The sequence below is a fragment of the Homo sapiens genome, chromosome 20 (assembly GCF_000001405.40).
Source record: "Homo sapiens chromosome 20, GRCh38.p14 Primary Assembly".
NCBI lineage: Eukaryota > Metazoa > Chordata > Mammalia > Primates > Hominidae > Homo > Homo sapiens.
Genome location: NC_000020.11, coordinates 35,429,120 through 35,454,782, shown reverse-complemented (window position 1 = coordinate 35,454,782; position 25,663 = coordinate 35,429,120). Strand labels below are relative to the sequence as shown.

General features: G+C 48.4%; 1 protein-coding gene, 1 long non-coding RNA gene and 1 other non-coding gene across 4 annotated transcripts, besides 9 other annotated features; 2 read left to right on the top strand and 1 right to left on the bottom strand.

The window, feature by feature from the left end:
* GDF5 (growth differentiation factor 5) lies at positions 34–21,436 on the top strand. 2 transcript variants are annotated; one of them, NM_001319138.2, is made up of 4 exons: positions 34–143; positions 13,396–13,551; positions 16,614–17,485; positions 20,000–21,436. In NM_001319138.2, exons 3-4 carry the CDS (start codon positions 16,855–16,857, stop codon positions 20,872–20,874), a joined length of 1,506 nt encoding a protein of 501 aa, NP_001306067.1. In that variant the 5' UTR covers positions 34–143; positions 13,396–13,551; positions 16,614–16,854; the 3' UTR covers positions 20,875–21,436. The 2 variants fall into 2 exon arrangements, with proteins under 2 accessions (NP_001306067.1, NP_000548.2); NM_000557.5 differs by lacking the exons at positions 34–143; positions 13,396–13,551 and having other exon boundaries at positions 16,555–17,485.
* Positions 201–250: an enhancer, noted in NCBI's record as "active region_17783". NCBI's record gives its function as "activates an Ori minimal core promoter by ATAC-STARR-seq in GM12878 lymphoblastoid cells {active_cell/tissue: GM12878}" and the evidence as "EXISTENCE:reporter gene assay evidence [ECO:0000049][PMID:35858748]".
* On the top strand, positions 686–829 carry MIR1289-1 (microRNA 1289-1). Its single transcript, NR_031620.1, has one exon. It is a non-coding gene; the product is annotated as a microRNA 1289-1 (primary transcript).
* Positions 15,631–15,690: a silencer, noted in NCBI's record as "silent region_12857". NCBI's record gives its function as "represses an Ori minimal core promoter by ATAC-STARR-seq in GM12878 lymphoblastoid cells {active_cell/tissue: GM12878}" and the evidence as "EXISTENCE:reporter gene assay evidence [ECO:0000049][PMID:35858748]".
* Positions 16,100–16,854: a promoter, noted in NCBI's record as "-448 to +319 promoter fragment". NCBI's record gives the evidence for it as "EXISTENCE:reporter gene assay evidence [ECO:0000049][PMID:23356643]".
* Positions 16,382–16,635: a promoter, noted in NCBI's record as "-115 core promoter; StuI/ApaL1 fragment". NCBI's record gives the evidence for it as "EXISTENCE:reporter gene assay evidence [ECO:0000049][PMID:10512744]".
* Positions 16,486–16,510: a protein binding site, noted in NCBI's record as "Inr; -41 bp C-allele probe". NCBI's record gives the evidence for it as "EXISTENCE:protein binding evidence [ECO:0000024][PMID:10512744, PMID:22929025]".
* Positions 16,565–16,590: a protein binding site, noted in NCBI's record as "rs143383 probe". NCBI's record gives the evidence for it as "EXISTENCE:protein binding evidence [ECO:0000024][PMID:23825960]".
* Positions 16,565–16,590: a protein binding site, noted in NCBI's record as "rs143383 probe". NCBI's record gives the evidence for it as "EXISTENCE:protein binding evidence [ECO:0000024][PMID:23825960]".
* Positions 16,565–16,590: a protein binding site, noted in NCBI's record as "rs143383 probe". NCBI's record gives the evidence for it as "EXISTENCE:protein binding evidence [ECO:0000024][PMID:23825960]".
* Positions 16,744–16,792: a protein binding site, noted in NCBI's record as "segment A probe containing Sox sites". NCBI's record gives its function as "positive regulation of promoter activity" and the evidence as "EXISTENCE:protein binding evidence [ECO:0000024][PMID:23356643]".
* GDF5-AS1 (GDF5 antisense RNA 1) lies at positions 20,132–21,754 on the bottom strand. The gene is made up of 2 exons (NR_161326.1): positions 21,620–21,754; positions 20,132–20,931 (listed from the first exon to the last, which is right to left on the bottom strand). It is a non-coding gene; the product is annotated as a GDF5 antisense RNA 1 (long non-coding RNA).

Genomic DNA, 25,663 nt, shown 5'->3' with positions numbered 1-25,663 from the left:
AGACTACAATTACAACTGCCGAGAAACAAAGGGGCTCGCTGCCACTGGTTAGCGATAATACTGGCAGCGCGACCGGTTTCTGAGGGTTGTTCACCTTGCTGCTCAGACGCTCCGAGAAGCTTCAGGCAGCATAACACTTACAGGCGAGTTACTTACTCAACACTCGGTTTTGTCTGCATGTCTCTGCACAGAGTGTTACCTTTACCTGACTTAATCCGTCCCGGAGCTGCAGTTCTGCTTAAGCCTGACTTCTAGAGAACTTTTTCTTCCCAATAGGACCCATGCGTTATTCCTGTAGCATTTTGTGTATAAATTTTTTTTTTTTTTTTTGAAATGGAGTCTTGCTCTGTCGCCAGGCTGGAGTGCATTGGCACGATCTCGGCTCACTGCAACCTCTGCCTCCCAGGTTCAAGTAATTCTCCTGCCTCAGCCTCCCGAGTAGCTGGGACTACAGGCGCCCGCCACCACGCCCGGCTAATTTTTGTATTTTTAGTAGAGACAGGATTTCACCATGTTGGCCAGGATGGTCTCGATCTCTCTTGACCTCGTGATCCTCCCGCCTCGGCCTCCCAAAGGGCTGGGATTACAGGCGTGAGCCACCGCGCCCGGCCTTGTGTATAAATTGTTAATGCACTTTCTTAGAGTTGTAAACTCCATTTACCTGCCTCACTCTTGCACTCAGTGGTTCTCAATTTTTAGTAGGAATTAAAAACAAAACTGGTAAATGCAGACTCTTGGTTTCCACCCCCAGAGAATCCCTAAACCGGGGGTGGAGTCCAGGAATCTGCATTTTAGAAAGTACCCAGGGTGATTCTGATAATTGGGAACACGTTTTAGGAAGCGCTGCATGAGATTGTGAGCTTGAGCGTAGAGACTGTAATTTGGTCATCTGACTATAGCGCTCAGCACAAGGCCTGGTACAAAATAGGTGCTCAATAAGTGCTGAGTGAATGGGTGAATGAGTGGATAGCTCGAGTGAAACAGCAAGGCTTCAGGTTAATCCACAGCCAAAGGTAACCTGAGAAAGGAACGCTTAAAAGCTATATTTTATCTTTCTCCTGTAAGAACACAAAAAAGATCTTAATAGCTAATTTGAGAAATAGAGAAAGTGGAGAGTAAAAGGGGAAGGAAGGACACGGATTCTGAAAGGCAAACTATCTAGAGAGGGGAAAAGGAACATCTCCAGGCACTAGACAGAGAAAACGATGCAAAGAAGCAGTGGTGTGGGATTCCATCCTAGGGAAATAATCCCACAACAGGCATTGTGCTTGAATGTTCACTGCAACAATATTTGAAATACAAATGAAACAATCTAAATATTATGCACATCAAGCTCTTTTCTGCCTCAGGGCGTTTGCATACACTATGCCAGCTACCTAGACCACTTTTCCCCCAGCTCTTGGCCTAGCTGGTACCTTCCTGTCCTTCAGGTCCCAGCTTAAATGATACTTCCTCAACTAGGTCTTCCCTGACCATGCTATCTAAAGTAATACCCTATACTTTCTAGGATAGTCTTCTGTTTCTTTTCTTTTTGAGACGGGGTCTTGCTTTGTCGCCCAGGCTGGAGTGCAGCGGCGCAATCTCGGCTCACTGCAAGCTCCACCATCCGGGTTCACGCCATTCTTCTGCCTCAGCCTCCCCAATAGCTGGAACCACAGGTGCCCGCCACCACGCCCGGCTAATTTTTTTGTATTTTTAGTAGAGACGGGGTTTCACCGTGTTAGCCAGGATGGTCTTGATCTCCTGACCTCGTGATCCGCCCGCCTCAGCCTCCCAAAATGCTGGCATTACAGGCATGCGCCACCGCACCCGGCCGTCTTCTGTTTCTTTCATAGCACTTTCCATTTATTATTTTGTTTTCCTATTAACATTCCCTCCAAAATTTAAGCTTTGTGTGGATAGGAGACTTATTCCTGGGATTTAGCACAGTCTTACACACATGGTAGGTATCAAGTAAGTGTCCATTGAATGAATGAATCAAGTCAGCCCTAGTGTTACAAAGTTTAATGACATAACATCCATTAGCAAACTAGACAATATTTTTTAAGACTATGAGGAGTCGGCCGGGTGCGGTGGCTCACGCCTGTAATCCCAGCACTTTGGGAGGCTGAGGTGGGCAGATCACCTGAGGTTGGGAGTTCAATACCATCCTGACCAACAGGGAGAAACCCCATCTCTACTAAAAATATAAAATTAGCTAGGCGTGGTGGCGCATGCCTGTAATCCCAGCTACTCGGGAGGCTGAGGCAGGAGAATCACTTGAACCCGGGAGGCGGAGGTTGCGGTGAGCCGAGATTGCACCATTGTGCTCTAGCCTGGGCAACAAGAGCGAAAGTTCATCTCAAAGAAAAAGACTATGAGGAGTAAACAGGTTTCAGACTACCAAGATATACCAAACCAAATAGTAATCTTTGATGTTTGTAAAGGGGGATTCATTCCCTTATTTATTCATTTACCCAGTGGACATTTATTGAGCATTGATTATGTTCTAGTATTGAATAATAATACAATGTAGTAAGGACAAGTTGGAAATTGTATTAAAACATAATAATGTAGTACAACTGGATATTATCTGAGCCAAAGCCCAAAGTGGAATTAGCTGGTGTGTGAAACAGGGATGGGCAGGGGTGGGTGGGAATGGTTTTGAGATGAGACTTCCACCTCAGATCATCAGGCATTAGATTCTCATGAGTGTGTAACCTAGATCCCTTGCATGCACAGGTCTCAATAAGATTTGCCTCCTATGAGAATCTAATGCTGCTGCTGAACTGACAGGAGGTGGAGCTCAGGTGGTAATGCTCGCTTATCTGCTCAACTCCTACTGTGCTGCCAGGGTCCTAACAGGTCACAGACTGATAGTAGTCCATGGCCTGGGGGATTAGAAACCCCTGCCCTAGTGGTTCTGTAGGCATAAGAGTACACCACATCAGTCTTACACAACCTGCAGATGGCTGGGTGCAGTGGCTCACGCCTGTAACCCCAGCACTTTAGAAGGCCAAGACAGGTGGATCACTTGGGCCCAGGAGTTGGAGACCAGCCTGGGCAACATAGTTAGACCTTGTCTCTACAAAAAAATAAAAAAATGAGGTGAGAGGATTGCTTGAGCCCAGGAGGTCGAGGCTGCAATGAGCCGTGATGGCCCTACTGCACTCTAGCCTGGGTGACAGGAGTAAGACCCTGTCTCGAAAAAAAAAAAAAAAGGAAAAAAAAACAGAAAAAAAACGCATTCTGCAAACTGCATGGAGCATTTGAGACGTACAAACAGGTGTTCCTACCTATCACCTGGCTTGGGGCCCAAGAGTCCTATAAAGACTTAAACCAGACAATTCAAGTCTGATCATGTTCAGACCTGTCTGATGAACCAGACTGGGGAGTTCTCAAAGGAGGCTGGATTGGAGGGAAAGGCAATGGATGAGTTGAAAGAAAATCAACCCTGGTCCCTGCCAGGTGAGGGGAACGGTTTCTTCCTTTATATCCTAAATTCCATCTCTAGAAATATGCCTTGTACTCAAACCCTCTCTGAGGGCTATAATATGGATCTTTCCTACACCCAGCCTTGCTCATTATTTATACATATTCCTCCTAGCCCATGCCAAGAGGCCGTCTGGACTAACTGAATTAAAAAATATATATATATATGTATGTGAAATTTCAAAATGAGGTGCTAAATCACTACATATATATTTGTGTATATATATATATATATATATATATATATTTTTTTTTTTTTTTTTTTTTTTCTGTTAGTCTAAAATCTGTTTGAAAGTTCCTAAATCCCTTATCCCAATATAAAGGGGTCTGCAGGTGGAGGATAGATAATTTGTGTGGAGATATTTCTGGCTATGAGTCCCCATTCCTCCTTGGGGAAGATTAAGAGGACATTACTTTTAACCGCTCAAACCAAGTGACTAGGAGAGGGGGCTTCCATGAGAATCTGAGATGCAGAATCCATACCATTGCACTTAGGGAGTATCGTGACCAGGATATGCTTCCTGCCTGTGAACTCTAGCAAGAAGAGACAAGCCTGCTGACTATTAGGTCCTGTTCAGTAGGGCTTCCTGGAGGTATAAAGGGACCCCAGGAACAAGAAGCTAGACAAATGGCCATTAATAGATGCCTTTGCTAAGGGAACTGCAGGAGAGGGGCCAGTAGGGAACCCCTGAAGAGTGTATAAAAGCACCCCATGATGCTTTGATGATGGATAGAGATGGCTATAAACATCTGCGAGGCCCAGAAAGCACTAAGCCAGCTATTACACTGGTTCAAAGAAGACTTTTCCCACCCCCATCTTCCTCTCCATGTTAACATGGAGACATGTTGAGTGACTAAAGTGAGCTGAGGATGACAGAGAGGGAAAAATAGAGGGAAAAAAAGTCAACCACTTTCCTCTTTCTTTCTCACTGCAAGGTAACAGTCTGGAGCACCAAAACGATAGTCTCTTGCTGCTGTTCCTCTGAGTCCATTCTTTTTTTTTTTTTTTACAGAGTCTCACTTTGTAGCCCAGGCTGGAGTGCAGTGGCACGATCTTGGCTCATTGCAACCTCCGCCTCCTGGGTTCAAGTGATCCTCGTGCCTCAGCCTCCTGAGAAGCTGGGATTACAGGCGCCCACCACCACCACACCCAGCTTTTTTTTTTTTTTTCAGTAGAGATGGGGTTTCACCATGTTAGCGAGGCTGGTCTTGAATTCCTGACCTCAAGTGATCCGCCCACCTCGGCTTCCCAAAGTGCTGGGATTACAGGCGTGAGCCGCGACGCCCGGCCCATTCTCTCTCTCTCTCTTTTTTTTTTTTTAAGAGACAGGGTTTTGCTCTTTCACTCAGGTTGGAGTGCAGTGATTTGATCATAGCTCACTGCAGCTTCAATCTCCTGGGCTCAAGCGATCCTCCTGGCTCAGCCTCCCGAGTAGCTAAGACTATAGGCCTGTGCCACCAGTCCTGGCTAATTTGTTTAAAAATTTTTTTGTAGAGATGGGGACTCACTGTGTTGTCCAGGTTGGTCTTGAATTCCTGGCATCAAGCAATGTTCCTACTTTAGCCTCCCAAAGTGCTGGGATTATAGGCTTGAGCTGCCGCGCTGAAGTTCCATTCATTCATTATTTTTAAAATATTGATTGAGCACCTACTGTGTGCCAAAAGTTGAGTTATGCACTGGGAGGGACCCAAAGAACAATAATAAATGAACTCTGTCCAGAGCCTCTGTTCACAAACTCACATGGCAGGCAAGCAAGTAAAGAAATAGTTCACACACACACAGTGTAGTAAATTCTATAAAGAGGGAGCAGCTGGCTACACAGCATCAGGCCACTATGACTTGTTTGTGAAGGATAAAAACGCTAAAATTAGCCAGGTGTGGTGGTGCACTACTGTAGTCCCAACTATTCTGGAGGCTGAGGTAGGAAGGATCGCTTGAGCCCAGGAGGTTGAGGCTGCAGTGAGCTGTGTTCAAGCCACTGCACTCCAACCTGGGCAACACAGCAAGACCCTGTCTCAAAAAAAAAAAATGCTAAGCAGACAAGCCAGGCATGGTGGCATGTGGCTGTAGTCCCACCCACTCAAGAGGCTGAGTCAGAAGAACCTCTTGAGCTTAGGAGTTTGAGACCAGCCTGGGCAGCATAGCAAGACCCCATCTCAAAAAAAAATGCTAAGCAAAGTGGCAGGGGTGGGGTGGTGGCGGGGATTCCAAGCAGCATGTGCAAAGGCACAGCAGCATGCTAGAGCATGGGATGTGTTAGGAATGCCGGACACTCCTCTTGCTGATGCCACCATCTGGTTGAATTGTGTCAATCTCCCTAGTTGGATTCCCTTTGTCAGCTGGATATTTTCTCCCTGGTCCTGACCCCGCCTCAGTAGGCAGTTCTTATTCCAGTCCTAGCCCCCTCTCACTCACTAAGTCAGGCTCGAAGTGACCAGCGTACCCAAGCTTGAGATTCTTGAAGTGGATGACATCTTTTCACTATCACTCAGGGCTTGGGCAATAAAGGATGTCCAGTCACAGTTCCCACAGGACCAGGTCCTCTCCTTCCTCAAAAATGGGCCCTTGGTCAGGCCTGATGGCTCATGCCTGTAATCCCAGCACTTTGGGAGGTGGAGGCAAGTGGATCGCTTGAAGCCAGAAGTTTGAGACCAGCCTGGCCAACATGGCGAAACCCTGTCTCTACTAAAAATACACAAATTAGCCGGGCCTGGTGTCGTGCACCTGTGATCCCAGCTGCTCGGAAGGCTGAGGCACAAGAATCGCTTGAACCTGTGAGGAGGAGGTTACAGTGAGCCAAGATTGCTCCACTGCACTCCAGCCTGGGTGACAGAGTGAGACAAAAAAAAAAAAAAAAAAAAAGTCGGGGGGGCCCTTAACTATATATATATATATATTTTTTTTTTTTTTTTTGAAAAAAACAAAAAGTCCCGTAGCCAGGACTACAGATGTGCACCACCGCGTCCAGCTTGCCTTATGTTCTTGAGCAACCCTCTTTCCCTTTCTGAGCCTCAAATTCCTCAGCTGCAATATGGGGATAACAGTACTTACCAGCTAGGGTTCTTATACACAAAGTGGGAATTAGAATTAGATGGAGGGAAGGAGGAGTGGAGGAGTCCAGCAAGGATCTGAGATTTCTGAGCTCAAGAATGACAACAAGGTTTCCAGTGATTAGAGAGGTTTCCTGTGATTAGAGAGATTGGGGTGTGAGGGGAGAGGGGAACTTTCTCTTTTAACTTTATAAACTTTGGTATTATTTGAATATTTTTACAATGAACATGATTTAATTTTATAATCAAATATATTTGGTATGAATATCATGCATCGATAAAAAGGTGTTTAAATTTTTTTTTTATTTTATAGAGACGGGCTTGTGCCATGTTGCTCAGACTGATCTCCAACTCCTGGGCTCAGGCAGTTTTCCCGCCTCAGCCTCCCAAAGTGCTGGGATTACAGGCATGAGCCACCGTGCCCTGCCTAATAAAGTTTTTAAAAAGCTGATGTTACTATATTGTGTGGAAAGTCATCTAGGAGACTGATCAGAGTTGTTGCTTCTGGGGAGGACTGAAAGACCCAGGGTCTGGGGTGGGAGGAAAATATTTTCTTTTGCATTCTTTTCTACTGTTTGAATTTTTAAAATCATGAATTCATATTACTTTTCTTCCTAATATGTATGACTTTTTATAAGTTTTAGAATTATTTTAAAAATAAAAATATTTTCTAGAATAAATATGTAAAACATGTGGTTATTTTATTCACACCCCTCTACCCACAACAGACAGACACACGCAACACTCACATACAATTTCCAGCTTCAGATTGTAGTACAGGTATTTGCAGCCCAGGGAAGGAATTTGATTGACTTATGGACAGAAGGCCCAGAGACACTCAACTCTAGCAAGGTGCAGCTCCCGAGTATCCCAGCAGGGGGAGCCCTTGAGAGCGCGTCCTGAGCAGTGGCCACTGCTGCGGAGTCTAGAAAAGAAACCAGGTTTTCATTGTTAAATTCCCACCTATGAGTGAGAACACGCGGGAATTGAACAATAAGAACACTTGGACACAGGAAGGGGAACATCACACACCGGGGCCTGTTGTGAGGTGGGGGGAGGGGGAAGGGGTAGCATTAGGAGATATACCTAATGTAAATGACGAGTTAATGGGTGCAGCATACCAACGTGGCACACGTATACATATGTAACAAACCTTCACATTGTGCACATGTACCCTAGAACTTAAAGTATAATAAAAAAATTTTAAAAAAACATATGTAACAAACCTGCATGCTGTGCACATGTACCCTAGAACTTAAAGTATAATAATAATAAAAAAGAAAAGAAAAGAAACCAGGTTTGCGGCGCGGGTGAGTGTAGGCAGAGGCGGCTCTGCTCTTGCTGGGATTCTCGGGTTGGGACAGGCAGTCCCCACAGATTAGAAGGAGCACAGATGAAAAGGGAAGGGACTCTGGGCTTTCCTCCCTGCCAGCTCCTAACCTGTAGGGTGGTCAGTCCTCTCTTTACGTGGGAAGGGCACTGGATTCAGAATTAGGGTCTTGGGTTGAATTCTAGCTCGGTCGTCTTTAGCTGTGTGAACTTGTGCCGATCACTTAACTACTCAGAGGCTTAATTTCCTCATTTATGAAACAAGGACAATATTAACAGTGGAATCTTTTTTAAAAAAACAAAACAAAACAAAACTGTAATTTATGATTAGCCAGGTGCAGTGGCTTGCACCTGTAGTCCCAACTACTCAGGAGGCTGAGAAGGGAGGATCACTTGAGCTCAGGAGTTCGAGGCTGCAGTGAGCCGAGATCTCACCACTGCACTCCTGCCTGGATGACAGAGTGAGACCCTGTCTCAAAAAAAAAAAAAAAAAGCAATAAATAAAATTATAATTTATGAAGCACATACTGTATTTTGGTCATTGAAAGGTACTTTACATATATAAACACATTAATTCTTATAACCACTCTGTGATACAAGTTTTTTTTTGTTGTTGTTTTTGAGACGGAGTTTCGCTCTTGTTGCCCAGGCTGGAGTGCAATGGCTGGATCTCAGCTCACTGCAACCTCTGCCTCCTGGGTTCAAGCAATTCTCCTTCCTCAGACTCCCAAATAGCTGGAATTACAGGTGCCTGCCACCACATTCAGCTATTTTTTTTGTATTTTTAGTAGAGACGGGGTTTCACCATGTTGGCCAGGCTGGTCTCAAACTCCTGACCTCAGGTAATCTGCCCACCTCAGCCTCCCGAAGTGCTGGGATTACAGGTGTGAGCCACCACACCTGGCTTATTTATTTTATTTTATTGTTTTATTTTTATTTATTTATTTTTATTATTATTTTTTGAGACAGAGTTTTGCTCTTGTTGCCCACGCTGGAGTGCAATGGCGCGATCTCAGCTCACTGCAACCTCCGCCTCCCGGGTTCAAGCAATTCTCCTGCCTCAGCCTCCCGAATAGTGGGATTACAGGCATGCACCACCACACCCAGCTAATTTTGTATTTTTAGTAGAGATGGGGGTTTCTCCATGTTGGTCAGGCTGGTCTCGAACTCACAACCTCAGGTGATCTGCCCGCCTCAGCCTCCCAAAGTGCTGGGATTACAGGCATGAGCCACCATGCCCAGCCTATTTTTTTATTTTTTTGTTTTTTGAGATGGAGTCTCACCCCGTCGCCCAGACTGGAGTGCAATGGTGCTATCTCAGCTCACTGCAACCTCCGCTTCCTGGGTTCAAATGATTTTCCTGCCTCAGCCTCCCGAGTAGCTAGGATTACAGGTGCCCGCCACCATGCCCAGCTAATTTTTGTATTTTTAGTAGAGTCAGAGTTTCACCATGTTGGCCAGGCTGGTCTCGAACTTCTGAATTTGTTATCTGCCCCGCCTCTGCCTCCCAAAGTGCTAGGATTACAGGCGTGAGCCACTGCACCCGGCCAGTTTTTTTTATTTTTATAGAGACAGGTCTTGCTATGTTGCCCAGGCTGGTCTCGAACTACTGGGCTCAAGCAATCCTCCCATCTCAGACTCCCAAAGTGCTGAGATTATAGGTGTGAGCCAAGTATGTTTTTACCGGTTTGCCCAGCTAGGTATATCGTTATTATTCCCATTTTATACATGAGGAAACTGAGGCAGGGAGAGATGAAATAATTTGCTTGAGATTACATAGCTGATAAATGGGGGGAACCAGGATTTGAAGGTGAGTGACTTAGCTCTTAATCATTATTTCACTACTCTCCTGCTTAAAACATCCCATTGGGTTCCCAGTGCACTAAAAGTAAAATCCAGGCCAGGCACGGTGGCTCACACCTGTAATCCCAGCGCTTTGGGAGGCTGAGGCGGGTGGATCACCTGAAGTCAGGAGTTTGAGACCAGCCCAGCCTGACCAATATGGTGAAACCCCATCCCTACTAAAAATACAAAAATTAGACGGGGTGCGGTGGCCCATGCCTGTAATCCCAGCACTTTGGGAGGCCTAGGTGGGCAGATCAGGAGGTCAGGAGTTCGAGACCAGCCTGGCCAACATGGTGAAAACCTGTCTCTACTAAAAATACAAAAATTAGCTGGGCATGGTGACGGGCACCTGTAATCCCAGCTACTTGGGAGGCTGAGGCAAGAGAATCGCTTGAAACCAGAAGGCGGAAGTTGCAGTAAGCTGAGATCACACCATTGCACTCCAGCATGGGCAACAGAGCAAGACTCTTGTCTCAAAAAAACAAAAGAAAAAGAAAAGAAAATCCAGCTCCCTTTCCAGGGCTTATAAGGCCATACAAGATGTGGTTCTGGCATGATCTGACCTCACCTCCTGCCACTGCCCCCTTCGCTCACTCTGCTTCAGCCACACCAGCTCCTCCTTACCTCAGATGTACCAAGTGCAAAGGCCTCAGGGCCTTTGCAACTGCTGTTCCCCCCACCTGGAATGCTTGTCCTCCAGACTTCAGTATGTCTCGTTTTCTCACTACATCTGGGTCTCTGCCCAAACATCACCCCCTCAAAGGGCATTCCTTGCTAAAATAGACACCTCTTTGACCCTGCTTAATTTTTCTTCACAGCACTTAGCATTCTCTTATGTGTTTGTTCCTCTGTCTCTTCCACCAGAATGTGAGAAGAGACAAACAAACGCATAAGAGAAATTTCAGATAAAACACTTGGTTTGTCTTGTCCATGGCTAGATACCCAGAACTCTACCTGGGGCCCATCCCATGGTAGGCACCCAATAAATGTTTGCTGAATAGTTAAGTAGATAAAGAAATGAATACCCAACATCACCCAATTGGCAAATGGCAGAACTGGAACACTGCATTGTCTGGTCCCAGCGCCTGTTCTCTCAGCTGCTGTGCTGTGCAGGACTGACTCCCGGAGAGATCTCGGGAGGTTCGGATAGCATCATGAATGGGAAGCCATTTTGAAAATTGACAAGTGCTTGAAAAAGGGATTATTATTATTATCACTCAGTTCACTGTTTACTCATCTGGAGACACAATAAAAAAGGGATAATAATAATCTGGCCGGCCGGCGCAGTGGCTCACGCCTGTAATCCCAGCACTTTGGGAGGCTGAGGTGGGTGGATCATTTGAGGTCAGGAGTTCGAGACCAGCCTGGCCAGCATGGTGAAACCCTGTCTCTACTAAAAATACAAAAATTAGCCAGGGGTGGTGGCGCATGCCTGTAGTCCCAGCTACTTGGGAGGCTGAGACAGGAGAATCGCTCGAACCTGGGAGGCAGAGGTTGCAGTGAGCCGATATCATGCCATTGCACTCCAGCCTGGGCAACAGAACTAGACTCTGTCTCCAAAAATAATAATAATAATAATAATAATCTGGCCAACTGACTTTATAAGGATGGTTTATGGAACAGCAATGAGACAATGGATGGGGAAACATAAAAGCAAAAGGCTCTACATGGCAGAAGGGGCTGCAGAGATTACTTCCATGTCAGTGGCTTCCCAAGGCTCCCATCCTCTACCTCAAGTTTGACATTAATATTGCTGACAGGAGAGGGGGAGGTTGGGGGACACGGGGGACCCAGGGACGCTGTGTCCCAGTAATTAAACATGTCGGGACTGAAGCACTGCCAGCGGCAGCATCTGGTTGCAATTACCAGAGGGAACCAAAGTGATTAGTCACCTTTATAGTGAGAGCCAGGCAGGAACCCTGGGCTCCTCTCTGGAGAGGGCCTTCTAACCAAGCTCAGAGTCCCCTTTCCCTGCTCCCAGCCCATTTCTGGGAGTTCCCTGTTCCTCAAACAATAGCCCTGGCCTCGAGACTCCTCCATGTCCCCAAAGTCCCAGCCCACTGGGTTAGACGTTGACTGAAAGGAATACTGTAACTTTCCCCAGTGCCCTATCACTTCTAGTGTTTCTAGGGGCCAGATTAGGCTTTTTGGGTATAAAATGTGTTGAAGCCAAAATTAGATTTAAAAAATAATTTAACCTTTCTGAACCTAAATTTATTTATCTTTAAAATGAGAGTATTGGGCCAGGCATGGTGGCTCATGCCTGTAATCCTAGCACTTTGGGAGGCCGAGGTGGGCAGATCACTTGAGGTCAGGAGTTCGAGACCAGCCTGGCCAACATGGTGAAACCCCCGTCTCCACAAAAATACAAAAAATTAGCCGGGCGTCTTGGTGCGCATCGGTAGTCCCAGCTACTTGGGAGGCTGAGGCAGGAGAATCACTTAAACTGGGAGGCAGAGGTTGTAATGAGCTGAGATTGAGCCACTGCACTCTTCACTCTAGCCTAAGTGACAGAGCAAGACTCTGTCTCAAAAAAAAAAAAAAAAAAAGACGGGTATCAAGAGTTACCTTCGGGCTGGGCACGGCGGCTGATGCCTGTAATCCCAGCACTAGGGGAGGCCAAGCCACATACAGAGACATTGTGGTTGTTCAACTCGTTCATTTATTCACTCTCTGAGCTTACAAAATGCTTTTTTGTGGATCACCTGAGGTCAGGAGTTGGGACCAGCCTGGCCAACATGGTGAAACCCCATCTCTACTAAAAATACAAAAATTAGCTGGGCGTGGTGGTACACATCTGTAATCCCAGCTACTCAGGAGGCTGAAGCAGGAAAACCCCTTGAACCCAGGAGGCGGGGGTTGCAGTGAGCTGAGATTGCGCCACTGCACTCCAGACTGGGTGAGAGAGCGAGGCTCCATCTCAAAAAAATAAAAAAAGTTACTTTCGGCCACATGTGGTGATTCACACCTGTAATCTCAGCACTTTGGGAAGCCAAGGCGGGCAGATCACTTGAGCCCAGAAATTTGAGACCAGCCTGGGCAACATGGTGAGACCCTGTCTCTACAAAGAATACAAAAATTAGCTGGGCATCGTGATGTGCACCTGTAGTCCTAGCTACTTGGGAGGCTGAGGTGGGAGGATCACCTGAGCCCCATGATCACGCCATTGCACTCCAACCTGGGCAACAGGTAAGACCCTGTCTCAAAAAACAACAATGAAAACCACTACCTTCATAGCATTGTCATGAAGATAAATAACACATAAATGCAATGGAGTACAAAACCCAGAGTCTAGTTGACTGGAATAAGTGCTTTAAAAAAAATAGCTATTATTGGCCGGGTATGGTGGCTTACACCTGTAATCCCAGGACTTTGGGAGGCCGAGGCAGGCAGATCACAAGGTCAGGAGATCGAGACCATCCTGGCTACCACAGTGAAACCCCATCTCTACTAAAAATACAAAAATTAGCCGGGCGTGGTGGCACGCACCTGTAGTCCCAGCTACTTGGGAGGCTGAGGCAGGAGAATCACTTGAACCCGGGGGGTGGAGGTTGCAGTGAGCCAAGATCATGCCACTGTACTCCAGCCTGGGTGACAGAGTGAGACTCCATCTAAAAAAAAAAAAAAAAAAAGCTATCATTAACAATTGCCATTAATAGTTGATCACTTTATGCAATTTAATTTTATTTATTTTTTTAGTAGAGACAGGGTTTCACCATGTTAGCCAGGATGGTCTTGATCTCCTGACCTCGTGATCCACCTGCCTCGGCCTCCCAAAGTGCTGGGATTACAGGCGTGAGCCACTGCGCCTGGCCGCAATTTACTTCATTGAATCTCCAACAAGAGTCCTGTGAGGTAAGCACTATCGTTATCACTGTTTAGAGTTTCAGAGGGGTTTAGAGGCTTCCCAAGATCACACAATACATAAATAGCAGAACCAAGCTTCAAAACCAGGTCTGTTTGTCTCCAGAATCCTTGCTCTTTATCAAGCCACGTACAGAGACATTGTGGTTGTTCAACTCATTCATTTATTCACTCTCTGAGCTTACAAAATGCTTAAGAAGTGGCAAGACAATTCTTCCCTTCAAGAAACTTAGAGTCTAATGGGAAAGGCAGGTTATGTCCACAAATAACTACACCTCAAAGTAGAAAATGATGATTTTTGTCAATAAGGGCCAGTTAGAGATTAATTTATTCATATAACACGTACTGAGAGCTGCTGTGGGCTGGGCCCTCTGCCAAGCACTGGGTATAATTCAAAGATAAATATGGCACAGTCTAGTCATAATCTAATGGGAGAGACAGGTATGTAAAGAAATTATTATAGTTATAAGGAATTAAGTTATGATTTTAAAATATGACAAAATACAGAGTGGAAGAAACAAACTGTGTTGGGATAGGGGGCAGAGGCAGAGACTGAATAAACTTTCAGCTGCCAAAAAATGTAAAAGAGCACAGAAAATGTGTGATGGCAGCTCAGGGGGAGTGTGCATTTTCTGGAGGATGCAAGAAGGCTTCATGGAGGAGGTGGCACGTGGGTTGGCACTTGTTTGATGGGTAGCTTTTAGTAGAGGGTTGAACCAGAGAGAGCCTGGAGGCCTAGAAGCCAGTTATAGGGGAGAATCATAGCGAGGCAAGCAATGAGGAGGACAGGGCAGTGACAGAGGTGGTGAGGAGGGAGTGAAGGGAGGGATGCCAGAGAGGACTGGTTCAGTGGGAACAAGTCTGTTTTTAATTTTTTTATTTTATTAATATTATTTATTTACTTATTTTGTGTGTGTGTGATGGACTCTAGCTCTGTCACCTAGGCTGGAGTGCAGTGGTGCGATCTCGGCTCACTGCAACCTTTGCCTCCACACCCGGCTAATTTTTTGTATTTTTGGTAGAGATGCCTGCAATCCCAGCACTTTGAGAGGCCAAGGTGGGTGGATCACTTGAGGTCAGGAGCTCGAGACCAGACTGGCCAACATGGTGAAACTCCGTCTCTACTAAAAATACAAAAAATAGATAGGCATGGTGGTGTGCACCTGTAGTCCCAGCTACTCGAGAGGCTGAGGCAGGAGAATCGTTTGAACCCAGGAGGTGGAGATTACAGTGAGCCAAGATCGCACCACTGCACTCCAGCCTAGGTGACAGAGTGAGACTCTGTCTCAAAAAAAAAAAAAAAAAAAAAAAAAAGAAGGAAGCCTATCTGACTATTGCTTCTCCCCCGCCATCCTTCTTACAGCGTGAAAAGTGTTGTTGTAGAGAAATGTACAGAAGGGGTAACTGGCTCTGTCTGGGGACGAGGAAAGGCTTCCCGAAGGAGGTAAATTTTCAGCTAAACTTCTCAGGATGTAGAGTGCTTCCTCCAGTTGTGGGAGAGAGAGAGGAGGATATTTCAGGTGAAGCGAACAGCTTTCCCCGCTGACCCTGTGTTAAGTTGCCCAGGGGCTCTACGGCGAAGGTTCCCCAGAGGAAGGGATCTTCCATACTTCAATGAGGCACTTTAAGAAACCCTTGAGTTCAGCTGGAATTCAGACCTTCCAGAGCTACCAGAAAAACATCATGTGGGAAATTGTGCCCGGCGCGGTGGCTCACGCCTGTAATCCCAGCACTTTGGGAGGCCGAGGCGGGCGGATCACGAGGTCAGGAGATCGAGACCATCCTGGCTAACATGGTGAAACCCCATCTCTACTACAAACGTAAAAAATCAGCCAGGTGTGGTGGCAGGGGCCTGTAGTCCCAGCTACTGGGGAGGCTGAGGCAGGGGAATGGCGTGAACCTGGGAGGCAGAGATTGCAGTGAGCTGAGATCATGCCACTGCACTCGACAGAGCGAGACTCCGTCTCAAAAAAAAAAAAAAAAAAAGCGTCATGTGGGAAATGGCTTTTCCAGCCTCCTGTAGGGGCCGCTGCTGCCCCAGACTCAGCCAGTCTTGTCTAAGAAAACTCAGAGGACGTCTCTGCTGGGGTGGTGGTGGGGTACACCCTGGACCTGCCGCCATCCAAGGAGTGAACTTAAGGGCGACAGTGCCCCCAAGCCTGAAGAATATGCACTCAGTCAATGGCATTTGGGGGTAGGGAGGGGGTGTAGTGGGCACTGATATTTTTCAGTCTCTGGGTCACCACAAGTTTATTAAAATAAAAGAAAATGTGGGTAAATGCTGCCATCTGTGCTGTCCCTACTCCCAATACACACACACAGGCACACACACACACAGGCACACACACACACAGGCACATAAACACACACACACACACACACACACACACACACACACGCATAACAAATCAGGTCCCAGACTAGATGCAGGAGTTGAAACTGCTTTAAAAACACTCTAAGAACTTAACTACAAACCCACACTCCCCATGCTTCTGGGGCTTAAGATCTTTGAGCTCATTCTTCAGCATCTCTCCTCGGGAAAGTGGGGTGGGCTGCTCCATGAGGTGGAGGTGAAGACCCCTGAGTCTGCCCTGTGGAGGGGGAGGCCCCCTAAGCCTAGAGTCCCGCTGCAGGGCTCTGTGCCAGGAGCCCCCGTGAGCCATGGCCTCGAAAGGGCAGCGGTGATTTTTTTCACATAAATATATCGCACTTAAATGAGTTTAGACAGCATGACATCAGAGAGTAATTAAATTGGTTTGGGTTGGAATTCCGTTTCCAATTCCTGAGTTCAGGTTTGTAAAAGATTTTTCTGAGCACCTGCAGGCCTGTGAGTGTGTGTGTGTGTGTGTGTGTGTGTGTGTGTGAAGTATTTTCACTGGAAAGGATTCAAAACTAGGGGGAAAAAAAAACTGGAGCACACAGGCAGCATTACGCCATTCTTCCTTCTTGGAAAAATCCCTCAGCCTTATACAAGCCTCCTTCAAGCCCTCAGTCAGTTGTGCAGGAGAAAGGGGGCGGTCGGCTTTCTCCTTTCAAGAACGAGTTATTTTCAGCTGCTGACTGGAGACGGTGCACGTCTGGATACGAGAGCATTTCCACTATGGGACTGGATACAAACACACACCCGGCAGACTTCAAGAGTCTCAGACTGAGGAGAAAGCCTTTCCTTCTGCTGCTACTGCTGCTGCCGCTGCTTTTGAAAGTCCACTCCTTTCATGGTTTTTCCTGCCAAACCAGAGGCACCTTCGCTGCTGCCGCTGTTCTCTTTGGTGTCATTCAGCGGCTGGCCAGAGGATGAGACTCCCCAAACTCCTCACTTTCTTGCTTTGGTACCTGGCTTGGCTGGACCTGGAATTCATCTGCACTGTGTTGGGTGCCCCTGACTTGGGCCAGAGACCCCAGGGGACCAGGCCAGGATTGGCCAAAGCAGAGGCCAAGGAGAGGCCCCCCCTGGCCCGGAACGTCTTCAGGCCAGGGGGTCACAGCTATGGTGGGGGGGCCACCAATGCCAATGCCAGGGCAAAGGGAGGCACCGGGCAGACAGGAGGCCTGACACAGCCCAAGAAGGATGAACCCAAAAAGCTGCCCCCCAGACCGGGCGGCCCTGAACCCAAGCCAGGACACCCTCCCCAAACAAGGCAGGCTACAGCCCGGACTGTGACCCCAAAAGGACAGCTTCCCGGAGGCAAGGCACCCCCAAAAGCAGGATCTGTCCCCAGCTCCTTCCTGCTGAAGAAGGCCAGGGAGCCCGGGCCCCCACGAGAGCCCAAGGAGCCGTTTCGCCCACCCCCCATCACACCCCACGAGTACATGCTCTCGCTGTACAGGACGCTGTCCGATGCTGACAGAAAGGGAGGCAACAGCAGCGTGAAGTTGGAGGCTGGCCTGGCCAACACCATCACCAGCTTTATTGACAAAGGGCAAGGTGAGGGGGCGGGGTGGCAGGGGCACGGCTCAGAGGGAGGGGCATCTGCATGAATGGAGGGGCTTTCAAAGCCCTGGCACTGCCCTGGTGGGAGACACTGTGTGCATCTGGCCCGGGGTGGGTGTCTGGGGACACTGACACATATCTCACACATAGCAGATCCTAGGCTGCCCACACATCAGGGCTGGAGGGCACCTAGGAAGCACCAGGTCCAACGCCTGCAAGGTGCAGAGTGGGCACTAAAGCCTAGAGAAGAGACAAGACCTGCCAGTTCGTGGCAGAGTTGGAGACCAGATTCCGAGACTTGATTGCTCAGTTGTGCATCTGTACCTGCTGGGCTGGCCGAACTTTCCAAGCTTCACAGGTTTGTAGGCGGTCTCAGACGGCAGAGAAAGAAATGAATCTTGAGGTCCCCATGCTTCTGCAACTTTGCCCTCAGGCAAGGGGATAGAGGAGGCAAGAGAGGTGCACACAGTAAATGGGGCATCTTGGAGTCATGGAATGATGTTCAGATACATGGGGAGGGAGCAGACCCAGGGCCTAACTCGCAGTATGACCTTGGGAAAGCTCCTTCTCACTTGGGGTCTCCGTTTTCCCATCTGTACACCTATATGGGGTTGGACAGGGTGGTTTCTGAGAGCCCTTCCAACATGAAAACTTTAGATGCTGTCCTGAACATGCCTCATTCTCCTCATTAACTCCAGAGACTACCTGCTCCCCTCTGTCTCTCTCGGCCCACCTAATGTTACTGTTGCAGCTTTTCCTCTCCACTTGCTGTGTGATCTAAGCAAGTCCCTCCCCCTCTCAGGGCCTCAGTTTCTTCCTAGTGTGAAGAGGGAGGTGGGCTGTTGGTCGCTCAAGTTGCCTGCAGCTCATTTGCTCTGGTCCTAGGCTGGCAGGGTGGGGGAGGGGTCAGAGGGTGGGAGAGGCTCCTCATTAGAGCTGGCCTGGAGGGGGCTGCCAGGGGGCGGGGGAGGCACAGAGGCAGCAGGTCTGGCTGAGGTGGGGGAGGTGGTCTGGCTGCCTGCCCAGCCAGGGAAAGCTGTGACCCCTTGGGGGCTCATAAAATAAGTCCGTGTGCCCCCCAGCACTAAGGGAGCTTGGAGAGGGGGAGATGGGGAGTTTAAAGGCCTAATTAGTCACCTTCTAGAGCAATATATGAAAGCTCCCCAATGGCAAATTGCAATTTAGGAAGGAGGGCATGCTGATTCGGAGATACTACTGAGCTTCTCACATACACATACATAGCCTTATGTTTATACACACATGCTGAATCACACATGTACATGCATGCTGACTCACACACACACGTGCTGAATCACACACGTACACACATGCCGAATCACACACATATGCATGTGCACACACACCTTCTTACATACACACACAAGATCAATCATGCATATACAGACATATATGTGCTCTTCAAATAGTCACACAAGCCCAATCATTTATACATATAATGCGTCATTAACGTATACACTCTTTCATATTCACATATGAACCCAATCACACACATGCATACAACTGTAACACACACACATGCTCAGGAGAGTAAGACACATAGGCAACAAAATCCTTGCACTGGAAAGCCAGGAAAATTGGGCTGTAGGTCAGTGTGGACCAGCTTTGTCATTAACTTGCTGTGTGACCTTAGTCAAGTCACTCCCCATCTCTGTGCCTCATCTGCATAACAAGAGCACCAAGGTCTCCTTTAAGGGATGGTGGAAGCAGCTGAGAATTTGAGCAAGTCATCTAACTTCTCTGAACCTTGGGATTCTCCTCTGGAAAAGCGTGTATTTTTTTTTTTTTTTTTTTTTTTTTTTTTTTTTTTTTTTTTTTTTTTTAGCCAGGGTCTTTCTCTGTTGCCCAGGCCGGAGTGCAATAGCGAATTCACGGCTCACTGAAGCCTTGACCTCCCTGGGGTCAATCAATCCTCCCACCTCAGCCTCCTGAGTAGCTGGGACTACATGTGCACGCCACCATGCCTGGTTAATTTTTGTATTTTTTGTAGAGACAGAGTGTCACCATGTTGTGCAGGCTGGTTTCGAACTCCGGAGCTCAAGCAATCCACCCACCTCAGCCTCCCAAAGTGCTGGGATTGCAGGTGTGAGCCACTGTGCCCAGTCAACAGGAGTAATTTTAATGCTCACTCCACCTATCTCACAAATGAGACATCACGTTAGCTCATGGCTGGGAGAGAGATAGGTAGAAGGCAGTTACAAAGCTGATAAATCTCTGATAACACGTATATCATGACACAAACACCAGAATCACGCAAATCATCCCCAGCCACATCTTCAGGTGAACACCCCTACTTGGTCGGCTATGTAGGAAATGCTCTCATTTTCAAAAAGGCTCTCAGTGGTTTGGCTCTTGGCTTCTGTCAGAATGGGGCAGAGGTGAAAGAAAGCTCTCTGGACTGGGAGAGAGCTGGGGCCTTCCCCCGCAGCCTCGAAGTGACTGGCTCCCTTGGTGAGGTTGCAGGGAATGACTTCTGGGTGTTCTCTCTAGATGACCGAGGTCCCGTGGTCAGGAAGCAGAGGTACGTGTTTGACATTAGTGCCCTGGAGAAGGATGGGCTGCTGGGGGCCGAGCTGCGGATCTTGCGGAAGAAGCCCTCGGACACGGCCAAGCCAGCGGCCCCCGGAGGCGGGCGGGCTGCCCAGCTGAAGCTGTCCAGCTGCCCCAGCGGCCGGCAGCCGGCCGCCTTGCTGGATGTGCGCTCCGTGCCAGGCCTGGACGGATCTGGCTGGGAGGTGTTCGACATCTGGAAGCTCTTCCGAAACTTTAAGAACTCGGCCCAGCTGTGCCTGGAGCTGGAGGCCTGGGAACGGGGCAGGGCCGTGGACCTCCGTGGCCTGGGCTTCGACCGCGCCGCCCGGCAGGTCCACGAGAAAGCCCTGTTCCTGGTGTTTGGCCGCACCAAGAAACGGGACCTGTTCTTTAATGAGATTAAGGCCCGCTCTGGCCAGGACGATAAGACCGTGTATGAGTACCTGTTCAGCCAGCGGCGAAAACGGCGGGCCCCACTGGCCACTCGCCAGGGCAAGCGACCCAGCAAGAACCTTAAGGCTCGCTGCAGTCGGAAGGCACTGCATGTCAACTTCAAGGACATGGGCTGGGACGACTGGATCATCGCACCCCTTGAGTACGAGGCTTTCCACTGCGAGGGGCTGTGCGAGTTCCCATTGCGCTCCCACCTGGAGCCCACGAATCATGCAGTCATCCAGACCCTGATGAACTCCATGGACCCCGAGTCCACACCACCCACCTGCTGTGTGCCCACGCGGCTGAGTCCCATCAGCATCCTCTTCATTGACTCTGCCAACAACGTGGTGTATAAGCAGTATGAGGACATGGTCGTGGAGTCGTGTGGCTGCAGGTAGCAGCACTGGCCCTCTGTCTTCCTGGGTGGCACATCCCAAGAGCCCCTTCCTGCACTCCTGGAATCACAGAGGGGTCAGGAAGCTGTGGCAGGAGCATCTACACAGCTTGGGTGAAAGGGGATTCCAATAAGCTTGCTCGCTCTCTGAGTGTGACTTGGGCTAAAGGCCCCCTTTTATCCACAAGTTCCCCTGGCTGAGGATTGCTGCCCGTCTGCTGATGTGACCAGTGGCAGGCACAGGTCCAGGGAGACAGACTCTGAATGGGACTGAGTCCCAGGAAACAGTGCTTTCCGATGAGACTCAGCCCACCATTTCTCCTCACCTGGGCCTTCTCAGCCTCTGGACTCTCCTAAGCACCTCTCAGGAGAGCCACAGGTGCCACTGCCTCCTCAAATCACATTTGTGCCTGGTGACTTCCTGTCCCTGGGACAGTTGAGAAGCTGACTGGGCAAGAGTGGGAGAGAAGAGGAGAGGGCTTGGATAGAGTTGAGGAGTGTGAGGCTGTTAGACTGTTAGATTTAAATGTATATTGATGAGATAAAAAGCAAAACTGTGCCTAAAACTGTGGCAAATTTCTTGTTTACTCCAGGGGACCCAGTGACCCCTTGAAGAATTACTGACCCAGGGCAGGGAGGTGGGTTGCTTCATGTATAAACTCAGTTTTCAGAGCCCTATCCCCACCCCCACTCCTGGAAACTGAAGCACAATGGGACAGAGAGTGCAGCTAAGCAGGGCCAGTGCTCACCTCTAACCGCATTCCTGTTCCTTCCAAAGGCCCCTGGGTCCCGAGCTCTATTTGCTCCATTGGGGCCTGGCAGCAGAATTATATTTTCTTCTTGAGATTCCTTAGTCAAGTTTGTTGTCTCCAAAATAGATCCCTAAAAGGGAGGGAAATTGGGGATTTCATTTCTTCTAAAATCATTCCTACATCATCGACCAATATCTGCCTGCCCTGCTACCCCCATACTCACAGAATTACCTGGGCACCATTGAAAGAGTCCTTTATCTCTCCCCTGGGGAATCTGGGCTGCCAAGGCTCTCCTTCTCCCTGTTGGGGCATCTCCTCTCGCCACTGACCACTGTTCCTCACATGACCATGTCTGTGGCCCTGTTGCCCTCCAGCTTGACACCCTCACTACACCTCACTGCTCACCCATCAGCCCCCAGCTCCAGAAACAGAATCGGAGTCCCCTGCCTTTATATTACACATTATATAAATACATAATTATACATCAGATAAATAAACTCCCCACTAACCTCAGACAGACAAATGCCAGGCACACCCTGACAATGTTTCCTGCTTGGGGCTTGGCCCAGAGTAAATGCTCACTTCCTTTTCTCAGCTGGAATCTTTGGGGAGGCACAGGGCACAGACTTTTGGGAGGGGAACATAGCCCTCTGGTGGGGAGACAGGCATATGGGTGCCTTGGGCTGAGGACTCCAGTTCTACCTGGCAGAATAGACACAGGGAGAACCAGGAGCAGTCTAAGCCTCCACTTCCCACCCAGGGGGCTTCAACATTTCCCCTACCTCCCTCCAGCTGGGTCTTTGATTCCTGGGGCTCCTCACCAAAGCTGCTTCAACAGTAGGGATTCCTACCCAGCTATGGGCAGACCTTGTGCCCTTTCCCTCTAGGCCTGAAGCTTGGGCACAGTGCGGGGGCAGCCTACCTTTGAGCTGCCTCCTTGGTCTGGAGGCTATTACCTCTCTCTGAGGGGACAGACTGAGCCTGGAGCCTCCCCTCACTGGCTGGGCTTCGTTGTGTTTGGCTAGTGGTGGGCCTGGCAGCTCTGGAAGTAAACAAAGGAGCTGCCGTGGCAGACAGAGCTGTGGTGTGTGTGAGGGGAGAATGGGCCTGGAAGGGAGGTGCTGGGGAAGCCAAGGAGTGGGCTGGGGATCCAGGGAGAGCAGTGTAGAAACTGGGGGGCCAGAAACCCAAGGGCAGATAGATAAGATGAATGGGTCACAGGTGGGGCTGACTCCCACAGGTATTATTTCCTGGGCTGCGTGTCCCTGGTTTCTTGGAAAGTTCTGACCGAACTGGAGCTTCTCTCTGCCTTAGCCCAGTCAGAGAGGTTCATGTCATCTGAGCCACAATGCCCCTCCTACTGAAGGCCTGGGCTCCCAATGGACTGTTTGGATTGACACGCTAGGAGTTTCCTCTACCACCACAACCTGCCCTAGGGCTCTCTTTCAGACTGTGGACCCTCCTGCATTTTCCCACCCAGACTCTGGGGATGTGATCAGGTCACCCATCCTAACCACAGGATCTGTTCAGCTGCCTCCTTGGAAAACACTCTCCCCCAGCCACCCACCTCCAACCGCAACCATAACAAGCTGCAAACTGGTACTGTTCATTCTTGCCCCAAAGGGTACAAGGCATCTATCATACTTGAGAGTTCACAAACACTCTCCACCCATGGTCACTCAGCTCTGAAGGCTGCACACTTTCAAAATTTCAGTTCTGTCACTTAGAGTTAGAGGCCTTGGGCAAGTAACTTAATTCCATGAACCTTGGTTTCCTCATTTGTAAAAAAAAAAAAAAAAAAGAGGGTTAACAATATGCTTATTTCATGGTGCTAACTGCAAGGATATGAGAAGCACTCAACACAGGAGCAGGCACAGAGGTGGCACTCAGGATGTGTTAGCTGTTATCATTGCCATGCCTTGCGTAGTGAAGCAGGTAAAGCAAGAACTCTCCACCCTCACTTTTTACAGATGCGGAAGCTGATATCCAAAGAGGCAGAGTGATAACTACAGCTTCCTGCAGGTCTGCATTCTTCTTCTTCTTCTTTTTTTTTTTTTTAAAGACAGGGTCTTTCTTGCTTTGTTGCCCAGGCTGCAATTCAGTGGAACAATCATAGCTCACCTCACTGCAGCTTTCACCTTAGCCTCCCAAGTACCAGGACCACAGGTGTGTGCCACCACATCTGGCTAACTTTTAAACTTTTTTTTTTTTTTAAGAGATGAGGTCTCACTGTGTTATCCAGGCTGGTCTTGAACTCCTAGCCTCAAGCGATCCTCCTACCTTAGCCTCCCAAAGTGCTGGATTACAGGCATGAGCCACCGCACCTGGCCCTCAGTGTTCTTCTTTTTTTTTTTTTTTTTTGAGACAGAGTGTCCCTCTGTCGCCTAGGCTGGAGTGCAGTGGCACAATGTCAGCTCACTCACTGCAACCTCTGCCTCCTGGGTTCAAGAGATTCTCCTGTCTCAGCCTCCTGAGTAGCTGGGACTACAGACGAGTGCCACCATGCCAGGCTAATTTTTGTATTTTTAGTAGAGATGGGGTTTCATCATGTTCGCCAGGCTGCTCTTGAACTCCTGGCCTCAAGCAATCCTCCTACCTTGGTTTCCCAAAGTGCTGGGATTACAGGTATGAGCCACTGCGCTGGGCCCTCAGTGTTCTTTATACCATTCTTGCTGCTGCTCTCTGGGCCCTTGACTCCACTGACTGCAGTCCTGGCAAGCTGTTGAATCACCTCCCTGGGTCTTGGCTCCTTGGTCTTAAAAGTTTCTCCTTGGGGACACACAGCGCTGTTAGTTTCTTGCGAGAAACAGCTAAGCAGAGTTTAAGGCAGTGAAAATTGAGAGGCCCATGGGGGAGAAAAGAGAAGAGGCTTCCAGTGCTCTGTCCCCCATCTCATGGCCCCTCCACATCTCCCAGGGTCACAACAGGAGAACCCGCTTTTCTAGGGCATGGAACATACAATCTCGGGAAACCCCTCAGACTTCTGACTCCACAACTAGTTCTGACCTGAATACAGATGTAAGAAAGTATAGTGGGGAAGTGTTAGTCACACAGGCCTGGGAATCAGGCAGACCTGAGTTCTAGTCCTGGTTTTACCACTCTCCAGCTGAGCTACTTTGGGGAAGTTCCTTAAGCTCTCTGAGCCTCAGTTTTCCTATCTGTAAAAGAAGGATAATATCAAATTTACTGGGCCTAGGATTCAGGAGAGGGAACATTCATTCATTTCACCAATCATGGATCCAGTCACTCATTCATTAATCAGTGACTATTTATTGAGAGTCAACTATGGGCCAGATGCTGTGCTGAGGATAATAATAACAATCACCATTGTTAATGTTTATCAAGGACTTATTGCATGCCACGTACTTGTGCTTTACAGGAATTCTCTTACCTTGCAACAATCCTGTCCTCAAAATCTGTGCATAAATGGAAGAAGACATAAAGATTCCAAAAGATGTTAGGATAAGATAGGCTGAATCAGAGGAGATAAAATAAAAGAGAGAAAACAGTCAAATTATCCATCTGAATTCATGAAACCAACTGCACAGGTATAGAATGTAAAAAAACATGATTTCACAGTTTCAGATGGGGAAGAAATGGTGCTGTAGGTGGCTACGAACTCAATGGAGCTGGCTGGAGCTAGCTGAATATAATGCGGCGGCCTAAATGCTAATACAATTGTGGGCTTCATTAATAGACACGTAGCACAAACCCAAGGAAATTGTGGTTTCACTCTGTTCAGTGACCACAGTGAGAGGGGCAGAGGAGGACAGAATAATAAGGGGCCTAGAAACAATGCCTTGTGAGATTCAGTTGAAGGAACTAGAGATATAGAGATAAAAAAAGAAAAGGAGGAAGAGGAAGAGCAGAGTGATGACAACTTAGAGCAAATGATCACAGCTTTCAAGACTGAAGGACTGGCCGGGCGTAGTGGCTCACATCTGTAATCCCAGCACTTTGGGAGGCCGAGGCAGGCGGATCATGAGGTCAGAAGTTCGAGTCCAGCCTGGCCAACACTCCCGTCTCTACTAAAAATACAAA